This window comes from Homo sapiens, chromosome 9 (genome assembly GCF_000001405.40).
Source record: "Homo sapiens chromosome 9, GRCh38.p14 Primary Assembly".
Classification (NCBI taxonomy): domain Eukaryota; kingdom Metazoa; phylum Chordata; class Mammalia; order Primates; family Hominidae; genus Homo; species Homo sapiens.
Window position 1 is genome coordinate 91,574,717 of NC_000009.12, and position 15,001 is coordinate 91,589,717.

Below are 15,001 nucleotides of genomic sequence, written 5' to 3' on the forward strand. Positions count from 1 at the left end.
AAGAATCTTTCTAAATTAGTTTAACCAGAACCTCCCAACTTCAAGAACTGATGGCCATCAGTTCTCATCCTCTACCACCCCAGGTGATGTCTGGTCATCCTGAGTTGCCTTTAGCAAGAATCATGTTTGGCTGGTTTAGCCAGAATCCCCATCACCCCTGATGTTTCTTCTTAGGAACTTTTCACTCACTGACCCCCATCTTTTTTCTCGGCTATAAATTCTCACTTTTCCTTATTTATGTTCTGAATTAAGGTCTCTTTTCCCCTATTGCAATAGTTCCTGATTAAAATCTGTTTTCACTCTTTTAACTACTGTCGGGCTCTGGGTTTTGGGTTTGTTTGTTTTCTGGTTTGGGGGTTGGTTTGTTTGTTTGCTTGTTTGTTTGTTTGTTTTGACACGGGGTCTCACTATATTGCCCAGGCTGGCCTCGAATTCCTGGGCTCAAGTGATCCTACCAGCTTGGCCTCCCAAGAAACTGAGAGTACAGGCAAGTGCCACCACACTGAACAGGCTCTGGGTGATTTTGTTTTTTGTTTTTTTGGACAAATGCGTACAATGGGTCCTGCAAAAAAATGAGAACAACAAATCACAAACATGCATTGAACACCTACTATTTATTTACCACTGTCCTTGGATGAGGAGAACATAATACAAGCAGTTTTGTGATGTAACTGGAGACAAAGGATGAGTCTTTTTTTTTTTTTGAGACCAAGTTTCACTCTTGTTGCCCAGGCTGGAGTACAATGGTGTGCAATCTCGGCTCACCGTAAGCTCCGCTTCCCGGGTTCAAGCGATTCTCCTGCCTCAGCCTCCCGAGTAGCTGGGATTACAGGCATGTGCAACACACGCGGCTAATTTTGTATTTTTAGTAGAGACGGGGTTTCTCCATGTTGGTCAGGCTGGTCTCGAACTCCTGACCTCAGGTGATCCGTCTGCCTCGGCCTCCCAAACTGCTGGGATTACAGGCGTAAGCCACAATGCCCAGCAAGGATAAGTCTTAAAGTGAGGGACTACTTCCTAGCTCCATGTCACCATCAGATTCTATGCAATAATTGCACCTACTCTGTACCCAAAAGAAAATTGGCAACCAAGAAAGTGCTAAGTTGTGCGGAATAGAGAAAAAGCCAATTATGTGATTCAAACGCTGCATGCAAAGGCTTAAAGAAAGGAAGAATTCCACAGGCTGTAGGAGTTCCTTGGCTGCCTTCAAGGAAAAAGATGTAGAAAAGGATGCTGAGTTGGATGAGATGCGGCTAACCGTGAAAGGACATGGGAAGGGGTCATTTTTTCAAAGAAAAAATGTTATTAATAGAAATGTATGAAAATAAACACTAAGGAGACTGCTTAGCCATGTTATCCTTACAACCATAAATTTCCACCCGGGTACTTCCCATTTAAATCCATATCTCCCCACGGAAGGTGGAATTCTGATTCCTTTGTTATTCCAACAGCTGTGTTTATCAAGCACGGACTGCAGGGATTCTCATCCTGCAGACTGACTTTGCATCCCGTAAGGTAACTGCTATGTGTACCCCCCAAATTAATATGCTGTGGCCCCCTACAAATTTATATGTTGAAGTCCTACCCTCCAGTACCTAAGAATGAGACCTTACTTGGAAAGAGGTCTTTACAAAGTTATTTATAAGGTTAACTGGAGTTATTAGGTTGGCCCTAATCCAGTGTGACTGGTGTCCTTGTAAGAGGAGGAAATCAGGACACACACACGCAGAAGGACAATCATGTGAGGATGGAGAAGGCGGCTGTTTACAAGACAAGGAAAGAGGCCTGGAACAGATTCTCCCTCACGGCCTCGGCAGGAACCAACTGGGATGACAGCTTGACCCCCAACTTCAGGCCTCCAGAAGTGTGACACATAATCCATTTCTGTCATTTAAGATGCCTGCCTAGTCTGTGGTACTTTGTTATAGAAGCCCTAGGAGACCAACATAGAAACCAACACTTCCAATCTGATTTTATTTATTTTATTTATTTATGTTAGAGACAGAGTCTTGCTCTGTTGCCCAGGCTGGGGTGCAGTGGTGTGATCACAGCTCACTGCAGCTTCCAACTCCTGGGCTCAAGTGATCTTCCCACCTCAGCCCCCTGAGTAGTTGGGACTAGAGGCACATGACATCACCTCTATAATTTTTGCATTTTTTTTTTTTTTTTGAGGAGACAGGGTCTCACTTTGTTGCCCAGATTGGTCTTAAACTCCTAGCCTCAAGTGATCCTTCCACCTTGGCCTCCAAAATGCTGGGATTACAGGCGTGAGCCATCTTGCCCAGCCCAGTCCTGAAGACCATTCTGTCTGCAGTGGAAAAGGGTCAGGACTAGTAGAACTTTGCTATCTATTATTTCTCATATTTATCAAAACTGCCCTCCAACTATAGAATTAAGAATTGGTTTTCTCCAGAGGACCACTGGAAATGTTTCAGAAACCCATAGTTTACTCTTCTTTTGTGAAATACATTGCAAGATAATGAAATCCTTTCCTGGACACCCAGCTGGCTTGTGCGTGAAGTGATTATGTGTGCCCTTCACCTCATCTTTTCCTCACCAAAGGCGAGAAAAAGGGTAGATGGGGAAGAGAGAAACAACGAAGTCACTTTTAATGAAATGCTTGAAATAGGCCTATTCTGAATAAGGCTGTTCAAATGTAGACACTATATTCTGTAGTTATATTTCACATTGTCCTGAGTTCCCTGATGGCACTTCTTGCTCAAAGTCCAAGACTTGGCCCTCAGATGTGACCCTGTTGAGCCTGGGCTTCACAAACAGTCAAATTTGAGCAGAGTGTTAAAATATTGTAATTATCCGGAAAATAATTCTTGGTGGAAAACATTCTGTCTTTTAAAATGGGAGGGCTCTGGACTGCTGAATAGGACATTCTGCATCTCAGTGGTGTGAAACTAACTGGCTTGGGGCTGCCCCTTACCTTGAATCCCTGCAGAATGAACGCACGCTGGCTGAGGAGTGCTATCTCTGTAACATCCAGCCAGTCTCAGCCAGTCTCCGGCAGCTGACTAATTAAACTACACCCAAATAAGGCAAACGCTGAACATAGCCAATCCAGCTACTTCTGTGCCTCACTTTTCTTTCTCTGAACTTCTGCTGGTTCTGAGGGCTGCCCAATTTGCCAGTCTTCTTTGCTCAAATAAACTCTGTTAAATTGAATTTGTCTAAAGTATTTATTTTAACAATGGTGAAGGAGGGCTAGATGTTAGCTCCCTGTCTTCCCTGTAGATAACAAGCAGATGGCTTCCCAATTTGGGATGCGTGCCTAATGAGAGACAATAGGGCCTGGGAAGACAGTTTGGTCCCACGAGGAATCTTTTCACCAAAATTGCAGGAGTTCATGCCAGGCACCCGGGAGTTCATGCCAGTTATTAGGGTGGCCCTAATCCAGTGTGACTGGTGTCCTTATAAGAAGAGGAAATTAGGACACACACAGGAATAACGACATGAAATACACGACTTGAATGCTATTACTGTGTTTATTCTCATAAAGAAAAAAAGTAAGTTCTATTCCTTGCTGCCACCAGAACTTAAGCATTATACCTTTCAGGGAGAAAGGGATCGGGGAAAATCTGGAGCTAGGATGCAAGACAGTTAAAGAACTGCCTGTGGCAACCTTTTCCCCAAGCAAGAAGACCCACTGTGCCTCTGCAGGCCAGAACAAAGCTCTGCAAAGCACAAAAGCAATGGAGTCAGGGGTGGATGCAAACACCCTCCTTGGCAGTGTCGCTGGAAAATTCACCACCATCATCCCCTTGACTAGCTGCACGAGAGCTCCAAATCTTGGGGGCAAGTTCCAACACTCACTTGCCATCTAGGAGACATCAGAGACCTACTTTGCCTGAAATCGCTCATTGGGCAATTAATGGTGCTCCTAAGGATTCATTTATGAACTCACGATTCCTGGCAGTGCTTGTTTGGCAAAAGCTGTTTGTTCCCAGGAGCCAGAGACAGCTCTCAGTAGCCAGGGCTGATTCAAAATTGCATCCTGGGAAGTTCCCGTTCATAAATGGGGTTCCCCAGAGAACAGACCAAAGGAATCCTGGAACTCCCACAGGGTGGAGAGTTCTCTGGAATCCTCAGGTTGCCTTTATATGTCTTTCTGGCTTTGCTCCATACGGGTAAGGAAAAGCTGATGGGCTACTCCCAGCAAGCAAGGGGCTGGGAGACAAAGTGTGGCAGAGCCCTGGGTGTCCTCCTCCTGTACAGACCTTGGGCAGTCTGCTCAGAAGGGGCCAGGACATCAGGAAAGCTGAATTGATTTTATTCTAATCTGTATGATACTACATGGTGATTGCATCAATATACATTTGTCAAAACCCATAGAATCTACAACACCAAGGGTGAACTCTCATGTAAACTATGGACTTTGGGTGATAATAATGTGTCAGTGTAGGTTCAGCAATTTTACAAGTGTGCCGCTCTGCTGTGGGAAGTCCGTAGTCAGGGAGGTTGTGCATCTGTGAGAATAGCAGGATATATGGGAACTCTCTGGACTTTCCACTCAGGATTCCTGTGAACCTAAATCTACTCTAGAAATAAAGTTTATTGATTTAAAAAGCTCATATGCTGATTTCCACTCTGGGCTTTATACGACTTTTCTGTCTAATTTCTTTACAATGCTTTATTCTTTTTTTACAAACCTTAATTTGAACTAATATATATTTTCAATCTTAGTTTAGTAGTGCATTTCAAGTTTATAAATATTCTCTTCATGTAACACTTTAGCTGCAAGGCACACATTTTTATTTTTGGTATCTTCTTGTTGTTATAAATACTTAAGAATCTCTATTGTTATTTTCTCTTTAGTATGTGACTTATATTTAGGTTTACATTTTTAATTCTTATTATTTTCCCTTTAGTTATATTGAAGTTGGAGCACATGGTTTCTATGACATATACTCTGAATTCAGTTTTTTGGGGGGAAATAGCATATGATTGGTTTTTATAAGTATTCTACATAACCTTAAAAGGAATATAGATTCTCTAGCTACTGAGTGCAACAGTCTATCCTGAGTCTAGCTACTCAGGTGGCTGATGCAGGAGGATCACTTGAGCCAGGAGTTGGAAGCTGCAGTGAGCTGGGATCACACACACTGCTTGGGTGTTTGTATCGAATCAAGCTTATTAATTTTATAGCCCAAATCTTCTACTGCCTGACTAATCATGTAACTGATATGGCAGTTTGTGATATAATTTTACCAAAATATCCCACTTTTCTCTTTCTTCTTGTAATTATGTCAATTTTTTACTTCATATATTTCAAAGCTATGTTGATGAGTGCATATAAATTCATGGCTGTTATTACTTCTTGGTATATTATTCCTTTTTTCATAATGTATTATCTATTTTAATCCCTATTTATGCTCTCTGCCAAATTCTATTTTGCCTGTTAGAAATATTGCTGCATAAGCTTTCTTTTAATTGCGACTTGTCTGGTATATCTGGAAACCTGAATTTAAATCCTGGCTCTGATTTTAACTCGTTATGCATTAGGTGGAAGGCTGAGACAAGCCACTCAACCACAATTTCCTTACTGGTGAGATTAAAATGCTGGGCTGGACAGATCCCAACACCTCCAGCTCTGACATCCTGTTAGCAGCCTGTTCAGCAGTCACCACAGGGGCTGGTTAGCACCTCCTCCCTGGCCCTTCTCAGCCCTGCAGCACCAACCTCCTACCAGAGATGTCTGCATGGGGTGGTGTAGTCATATATTCTTTTCTTTGTAAGGTTAAACTCCTCTGAAATGGAACTTGGGGAAACTGTCTTCTACAGCAGGCTCAGGGATCTCCTCCTTGACATTATCTAGTCCTCAGTTTCAACATATTTTATTTTCTGACTAATCTTGTCTTGATATGGGGGGAAATCAAATTTACCATGAAGCTCCCCAGTTTCTGTTAGCTCAGTTTGAACCTCTCCTTTAGGTTTTACCAGGCTCTTTAAGGCACAGACTGAGTCTTCTGCAGACACTCTAGCTATCAGAGACGCTCCTGTCTTCCGAGCAGCCGGCTCACCCATTTCTCTGTCCCAAATGGCATCTAGGTGCAGGGAGGCACATCCCAGCCTCGAGGCATTGGAGGAGCCTGCTGCTCCAGATTAGCTGCCCACTGCCTAGCTGTCTCACCCTGGTCTCTGGCTCCACTTGCTCTGCAGCTACCTGTACTCCCCCATGCTGCACAAATGGGGCTCAGACGATGCTCCTGGGAGGTCCCCATCTCAGCCCCTGGGGGCACAAATCCTTCAGGGTCTGTGTGCAACTCCCACTGGGTCCCACCCTCAGCTCCTACTCTGGGGTCCCTGTGCACCTTGTTCTGGTGCCCTTGAAAGCTCCAACCAGCAATCTCAGGCACAGTCCCTGTCCTGTGGCTTCCACAGAGAAAAGGCCCCAGGCTAGGCCATCATCTGAAGCTTCACTCTTAGCCATTGCTGCTTGGCCATGGCTGTCTTGGGAAGTTCCAAATAGGAGCAGGGATAAGCCCACACTACATTGCACTCCACCTCACTCCATTTGGGGTCTATACCTTCTCACGGAGGGCTGATAACATCCTCACCTTGGCCCTGTCCTTCCCTACAAACCTCCCTCTCCAATCCATCCCCCTGCCCACCTGGAGGCATGAGACCCCCTCCTCGGCCTCCCTGTTGAGGGATTCCCCTGTGCAGAGCCTCAGATCTCTCTGCCTGGGCTAAGAGGGCATGTATGGTCAGAACTGCTCATCTTCACTCTTTATATATGATGGCAAGTTTGGGAATTCCAAACTCTGTCTCTCTCTCCACAAAGCTGGGCTTGCTTTCTCACCAAGTGCTTCAAGAGTTTATCTTAGAAGTTAAAAGCTAGACATTGCCTCTTTCTCTTTGTTTTCATCCATAAAATGTCTAATCTTCCCCAGATAACATAAGGCCCTGGCTGAAGAAGAAGATCACATTGAAGAAGGTAGAAAGAACAGGTGCATCAATATTTTTTCAAACATTTGCTATCCTGCCATCTAGAAAAGGGAGATTTACTTCTTTTTTTTTTTTTTTTTTGACGGAGTCTCATACTGTCACCAGGCTGGAGTGCAGTGGCACAATCTCGGCTCACCACAACCTCCGCCTCTCTGGTTCAAGCAATTCTCCTGCCTCAGCCTCCCAAGTAGCTGGGACTACAGGTGCGTGCCACCACACCTGGCTAATTTTTGTATTCTTAGTAGAGATGGGGTTTCACCATGTTGGCCAGGATGGTCTTGATCTCTCGACCTCATAATCCACCCACCTCGGCCTTCCACAGTGCTGAGATTACAGGCGTGAGCCACCACGCTAGGCTGCTTTTACTTCTTTAAGGGGTTCAAAAGCCTCATTCTGTTGATTGGCAGAGAGGGACATTGAGGTGTTCTGGGAAAAACCCCTTCCCTCATGCCTTATTTCATGGGTTTAGACACATGGAGAAGAGACTATATTATAGGACATCATCTGTGGTCCCTAAATAGGTGTGTTCTTTCAGGGAAGAACACCTTTGTGGAAATATTTTTACCATTTTGGCACTTTATGTCATGCTATATTGCCACATACTTTCTACTCCTACAGTAATTATGATTATCCACACACTAAGGGGAACCAGAGCTAGTTTTTAATAGCCAATAAAGGATAATGTTAGCATTAACGGCGCTGGCTTGGAAAAAAGCCTGGCTGTGCTTGGATCCTAAGGGTCCCAGCGAGACCTTCTTCTCCCCTTTATTTCAGACAGCTGGGGCTCCCCCACTCTTATGCCCCTGAAGCTGGGCTTGTGGGTTACCCAACTGGCTTGCTTTTCAAGACTGTGCACTAGGAAATCGGTAGAATTTCTCTGTGCCCTGGTCTCAGTCCAATAAGAGATGATGAGTGTAAAATATCCGGCACTTATTAGAGGTGGGTAAATAGGAAAACACTGACATTTGCCCTGTGAATTTGGCAAAGCAGGAAAGTTTATTCTCCTCACCCGTGGAAACTGTACAATAACAAATGCTTATTGTTTTAAGCTGCTGTTTGTGGTCGTTTTTTCAGCAACAGAAAACGAATCCACTGGAAATTGGAATTCTAGTGCTTTTTGAACTCTTTATCGCCCCGCCTCCCATTTTTTAATGGATAGGAAAGGTGGAAACACTCATCACGTGTATCTTGTGTACGCACTAGGGAAAGTTTAACAGTTGCTATGAGAACTTGCTTGGACCCCTGCCTTTCCAGCCTTCCTCTATGTAGTTATCAGAGTATAATAGACAGGACCTGGACAGACCCAGTAAGACAGACCTTTACTGCTTTCATGGAGAGGCAAGAGATGGGAGTCACCCGAGGCATGGGGAATATTTCCTTGGCTTGAATGACTCAGCATTGTCCTCCCATTTGAGGTCCAAGAAGAGGAATTATATATTTTTTAATATTTTTCTTTCATCACTAGTACTATACTGAATGATAAAAAGAATGAGATGGATGAATAGATGGATGGATGGAAGGATGACTGGGTGAATAGATGGGTGGATGACTGGATGGATGGATGGAGGATGGAAGGATGAGTGGATGAGTGGGTGGAGGTTGGATGGATGGATGGATGGGTGGGTGGAGGATGGATGGATGAGTGGATGAGTGGGTGGAGGATGGATGGATAGATGGGTGGATGGGTGGAGGATGGATGGATGAGTGGATGAGTGGGTGGAGGTTGGATGGATGGATGGATGGATGGGTGGATGGGTGGGTGGATGGATAGGTAGGTGGATGCATGGGTGGATGAGTGGATGAATGGGTGAATGGATGGAGGATGAATGCTGGGTGGATGAGTGAATTGAGTAGATGGGTGGATGGTTGAATAGATAGATGGGTGGGTGAATGGATAGATGGATGGATAATGAATGATGAATGGATTTATGGAGGTCAAGCATGCTGTTAGTCTCTTGTGAGCTTGGGCCCATTCTAGGACCTGGACTTACATTTTGTTTCTGTAATGGAAATGTGTCCCTGCCCTTGCCCTTGCCAGCCTCCTCACCTATACCCCTAAAGGTGCAAGGCTGCCAGAGAGCCTGTCTTGATTACTGCATCTTCCCTATTCCTGGATCCTGGATCCCAACCTGAGCTGAACAGCCATGTCTTGGAGCCTTGGCTGCCATTAACTGTGGTCTTACAAATTTCCTCCATGGATGACCTTGGGGTTAAACCTAGTTTCTGCTTCCCCTCCATCCTCATGGGTCTGCAGTTCTCAGGAATCCCTCTCCCCTGACCTGGCTTGTCTAACTGTTGCCCACCCACTCCCCTCCCTGACAGGTGCTGTAAAACGTAGTCTCAGCAGGCATGCACCACGCCATATGGGATATTGTAGAATAGTGTGGTTACTATTTTGGGGAATACGCTCACATACTATTTTGGGGAATACACTTGCAGAAACACGATGATGGCAGCCACCTCCGGGTGGCTTGCATGGAAGCAGGAAAAAGTGTTTCCAGCTCCTACGCTTGGCTCCTACGTGCTCCATTGCATAGGCAAGGTCGGGGGACTGTGAGCTCACCAGGGAAACTGCTGTAGAATGGGATTAGCCCCTCAGGTTTTATTGAGGTGGGTATGCTGAGCTACCTGACTTGCTCTTTTGGCAAAGTTGAGGTCTCGTGGGGCCATCTTGGACAGCTGTCTGGGCAGCTGTGGAAGTGGACAGTGCCCTGGTCTCAGGGGAGGAGGGTGTCGTGAGCTGCTTCAGCCCAGGGCTCCCCGTCACTGCCACCTGGCAAGGTGGGAGAGCTAAGCAGGCCCTCAGGAGCACACACTAAAGCCAAGCAAAAGCACATGGGTTCATCAAAGCCACATGAAAATCGAAGAGGCTGGAGTTGGGTTTCCTCCCCAATCCCACATGAAGCACAATGCTGGAAAAGTCATTGTGAGGAGCTTTATAGTCTTTTTTAAAAAATTCATGAAGATTACATAATTTTCAGTTAAAATATCATTTTCAGCCCGAGATTAATGTGCTTCTCAGGACAGGGCCACTTCTTAAAGGCCTAGCACTAAAAATTGCATCCATTTTTGTCTATCAGATTCTGCTTTAGATGCATTTTTTCAACTGTCCCTAATAACAGTTCTGTGGGTGGGTTATTAATATTACTCCCATTTACCAGTGAAAACAAATGAGCGGGGCCACACAGCTAGTTAACAGCAGAACCAGGGTTCAAAGTGTGCCCGGACAGCTCCACAGGGCAAGATGCTGGTGGTGCGACACCCTGCAGGTCGAACTAAGGAGGCAAGAGGCTCATCGGGACCTGGTGACTTCACATGGATGTTGCTGCTGGGAAGAGCTTTCTTGCTTGTTTCAGTTCAATTCTCAGCCCCATATCCTGGCTGGGGTGGTGCCAGAGGCCCCCAGGTTTGGGTGTTCTCAGAGCTAGCACCCCATGCCATCTGGCATTTGGCTCTGTGAATGTGTGGGTGCTATTTAACCTAACCTCTGCTTCTCACATGTAACATGGGAAAGCTAGCAGTACCTACATCTCATACCGTGGCTGTGAAGAAGGCACGTTTATAAAGTACCTAAGCCAGTGCCTGACACAAAATAAGCACTAAATAATTGTTAGCTGTGGTTATTAATCATGCAACAGATGTTGGTTTTGTTGAAGAAAAGGTGTCCTTAATGGTTAGTCCCTACAGGAAAAAGCCCTGGACACCTGATCTGAACAGCAACTTGTTATGATTGATGTTCCACGGCTGAGCACAGGGTTGGAGACAGATCACGTGGGTGCTGTGGATGCCGTGGATGATGGTGATGATGCAGGAAATGCTGTGTTGCCTCGACAGACTTGGGGCTTGAGATACTACTCAGCAGCCCTGTCAGAGACGTCAGTGAGCACATCAGTCTTCTTTTTTTTCCTTTTTTTTTTTTTTTAAAGACAGGATCTCATTGTTGCCCAGGCTGGGGTGTAATGGTGAGGTCATAACTCACTGCAGCCTTGAACTTCTGGGCTCAAGCGATCCTCCCACCTCAGCCTCTCAAGTAGCTGGCATTACAGGTATGTGCCACTACACCTGACTTATTTATTTATTTATTTATTTATTTATTTATTTATTTATTTATTTATTTATTTATTTTGAGATGGAGTCTCCCTCTGTCGCCCAGGCTGGAGTGCAGTGGTGCGATCTTGGCTCACTGCAACCTCTGCTTCCCGGGTTCAAGCAATTCTCCTGCCTCAGCCTCCCGAGTAGCTGAAATTACAGGTGTCTGCCACCACAGCCGGATACTTTTTCTATTTTTAGTAGTGACGGGGTTTCACCATATTGGCCAGGCTGGCCTCAAACTCCCGACCTCAAGTGATCCGCCTGCCTCGGCCTCCCAAAGTGCTGGGATTACAGGTGTGAGCCACCATGCTCAGCCCAATTTTTAAAAATTTTTGTAGAGATGGGGTCTCATTATGTTGCCCAGGCTGATCTTGAACTCCTGGCCTCAAATAATCCTCCCACCTCACCTCTCAAAGTGCTGGGATTATAGGCGTGAGCCACCATGTCTGACCCAAATAAGTCTTCATGATGACAAACCTTGAATGTATCAGCCCAAAACAACTTTCTGCTAGATGGGGGCACTCTTTACTACAATATCTGTCAGGATGAAATGTACATGGCCATTTCCCCAGCCAATGCAGAAGCGCTCACAGCTTGTTTTCTGTATGTGAATGTTAATGGTGTCTCTGCTGGATGAAACACGGGTTGCAGAGTGTGTAAAGCAAGCCCCTGCAGAACCTGGAGGGACTACTCAACACGGGGTGGTGCTTTACAAAGAGCGCTTTGATGTGGTCGGCCACAGTCAGAGCTGCCCAGCAGCCTCTCCTGTGGCGTCTCCAGTGGCATCGCACACACCCAAGCCTGATGTGCTGTTCTCATCTTTGGAGCGAATCCTAGCTTATAGAATGCTCTGGAAATGTTGCCAGAGAATGATGAAAGGTGTTAATTTGACTATTAAAACTCAACAAAAGGGCCTCCTTGTTAATAAAGGACAATTTCAGACAGGAAAGAAACTAAAACAACATCGAAACTGCTACTGAAGTCATCCAACTTTACAGAGTGTCTTAGAGGGAGTCGCATTTCTTATACAGAATCAATACTAAAAATAGCAATGAAAACAAGTTGGTGCCTTCTTCAAACTACACACAGTAACTTGAGGATATCGGTTCTTTGGGTCTGAGAGTCCCAACCAAACACTAGGGCAAGGCTATAAGTCAGTGCCTTGTTCACTCAGTATCCCATAAAATGCTCCTTCATCCACACTTTTGGTTTTTCTCCCCTCATGCTCCCACTTAGACTAGTGGTGGACATTGGGCAGAGGAGGGCTCTGGCCAAATCCCCCCTCTACTCTACCCCAGCTTGTGGGGCTGAGCAATTTGTCCATGCCCCTGAGTCCCAGCTCCCTGTGTAACAGGGAACAATAGTACTAGAGTTGCTGGGATGACTCAGTAAGACGAAGGGGAGAACTAGCATCTATGTAAAATGCTTAGTACAGTGCTTGGCAAGTTCTGTCTTTGACAAACGTTAGTTGCTGTTATATTGTTGTTGTTATTGCTGTCATTGTTATTATTATTATTGTTAGTAGTAGTAGTAGTCAATTCTTCCAGACAATCATCCCACCTTTCTGGCCAGCTTGACTCTGGTGAGGCACTTTGTGAACATTCAGAGGTGACTGCTCTATGCTGCACTCAGGTCAGGCCCAGTAGGATTCTAACCATTTCCATCCGTTCATTGAGATGTTTATCAAGAGTCGAACGTGGCATGGAATTGACACACGAGTGTTTTAGAAGCGACTCTCTAATAGTATAAATTGAATATTCAAAAAAACGACAGTATGTTTTCTCACTGGAGACCTTAATTAAAGAAGTGTCTTACTGACTGTTTCGTAAATGAATCTCGCTTCTTACGTGAAAGCCCTGGATAATAGGTGCGTAGCACCGGGATGGAGAAATCTCTCTTAGGCCTCATCAACCAAGTGTTCCTGGAATAACTGATGGGCTCCAAAGTGCAGTACTGACAACACAGGGAAATTTGGGGCTGTGACTTCTTAGTCGGGTGGAAAGGAGAAAGAAAAAAGCATTCCTCTTCATTTCTGAATGCCTCAACCTAAACCAAACAGTTCAGTTTTAGAAGGCTGTAGAGTCAGGCTTAATGAAGTCTACAAATGACCAATGTGTAGAATGCTGAGAAAAATTCTCCAAGAGTTTTTTAAAATGCAGTTATGATATTATTTAAGTATTTGAGTTTTAAAACAAGCAATAAAATATCCATTTTTGGCCAGGTACAGTGGCTCACACCTGTAATCCTAGCACTCTGGGAGGCCAAGGCAGGTGGACCACCTGAGGTCAGGAGTTCAAGACCAGCCTGGCCAACATGATGAAACCCTGTCTCCACTAAAAATACAAAAATTAGCCGGGTATGGTGGCGCATGCCTGTAATCCCGACTACTTGGGAGGCTGAGGCAGGAGAATCGCTTGAACCTGGGAGGTGGAGGTTGCAGTGAGCTGAGATTGCACCACTGCACTCCAGCCTGGGTGACAGAGCCAGACTCTGTCTCCAAAATATATATATGTATATATATATGTATATTTTGGATATATATAATATATATCCCAGATGTCTCCTGGCTCCTGCCTGCCCATGTCGACATGAGACTCCACAGGGATAAAATGCAACAGAGGTCTCTGCATTTTCTGTAATTTAATCCTCTGCGGATCTATTGTATATAATATATATATAATATATATATTTTTTTTTCATTTTTGACCTGGCCTTCCTTTCTTCTTATTTTCCTTCATTCGTTATATCGTTTTTCCCTCCCACAGGTTTTTCATTAACTAGCCCAGGAGTTCTTAACTTTTGTTTTTAACTCTCTTTAGGCCACAGACTAATATTTTGAATTCCATGAAAGGAATGGAGTTTCTCCCCAGAAAAGTGAACAAACGCACAATGCGGACCTCCTGGAACCTCTGAGCACTCAGCTAGATAGACAGATGGTAGGTAGGTAGGTATATAGATAGGAAGAGGGCAGGTAAGTAAGTGGAGAGACAGATAGTGGGTAGGTAGATAGAAGACAGGTAGAGGACAGGTAGATAGGTAGGTAGATGATAGATAGATATGCATATGATAGGTAGGTAGACAGATACACTGGTAGATAGATGATAGGTAGACAAAGAGATAGACAGATGATAGGTAGATAGGTAGATTTATTTCAAGGAATGGCTCATGCAGTTACGGAAGCTGACAACCCCAAAATCTGGGAGTGGGCCAGCAGGCAAGAGACTCAGGGAAGAGTCGATGGTGCAGTTTACGTCCAAAGGCTCTTACAGAGACACCGTGAATAATATGTGACCACTCATTCGGGCACTGTGGTTCAGATATGTCCACACATAACGTGAACCATCATAAGGGGCCAGGGCCTGGGATCAGAGAACCAGGAATCAGTCCAGCCAGGGCCAGCATCCTTGATACTTCTTTTCTTCCCCTGGGCTCCTCAGCCCTTGCTCACTGTATTAACTGGCTTCCCCTTGACGTTCTCTCCCCCATGTGAGTGGGAGGCTTGCCAAGAGAAAGTCCCTGACGCAGGGGTTTCCCAACACATGATGAAGCCATCTTCAGGAAAGCAGGTCAGGCACTAGCGTGAGTTTTATTTGTTATTTGTGTATTGCTTTTGGCAAACGACAGAGCAGGCCAATCCTGGGTGTAGAATTGGCACAACTCCACATCCCCCACCCTCACCATCATGGCAGTAGCCCAGGTTCCCACACCAGAGGGAGCACAGAGTTCTGACGGGGCTCCCTGCAGCCTGCTTTGGAGGAGGCGGCTTCCCCGGGGCTGGTTTCTAAGCAGCACATCGCCCATTCCAGCAAGAACTGGGAGTGCTGGGGGGACACTGGACCTCAAATGATGTATGTGTGAGTGGCAAGAGGGTGTTGTCGTGGCCTCGAGGAGATGACAGATTCCGGGAGGGGACAGCCATTCCTGCGGCTGCCAGGTCAGGAGGCGACCCTCA

At 45.4% G+C, this 15,001-nt stretch overlaps 1 annotated feature.

The window, feature by feature from the left end:
• Positions 14,550–14,769: an enhancer, noted in NCBI's record as "active region_28587". NCBI's record gives its function as "activates an Ori minimal core promoter by ATAC-STARR-seq in GM12878 lymphoblastoid cells {active_cell/tissue: GM12878}" and the evidence as "EXISTENCE:reporter gene assay evidence [ECO:0000049][PMID:35858748]".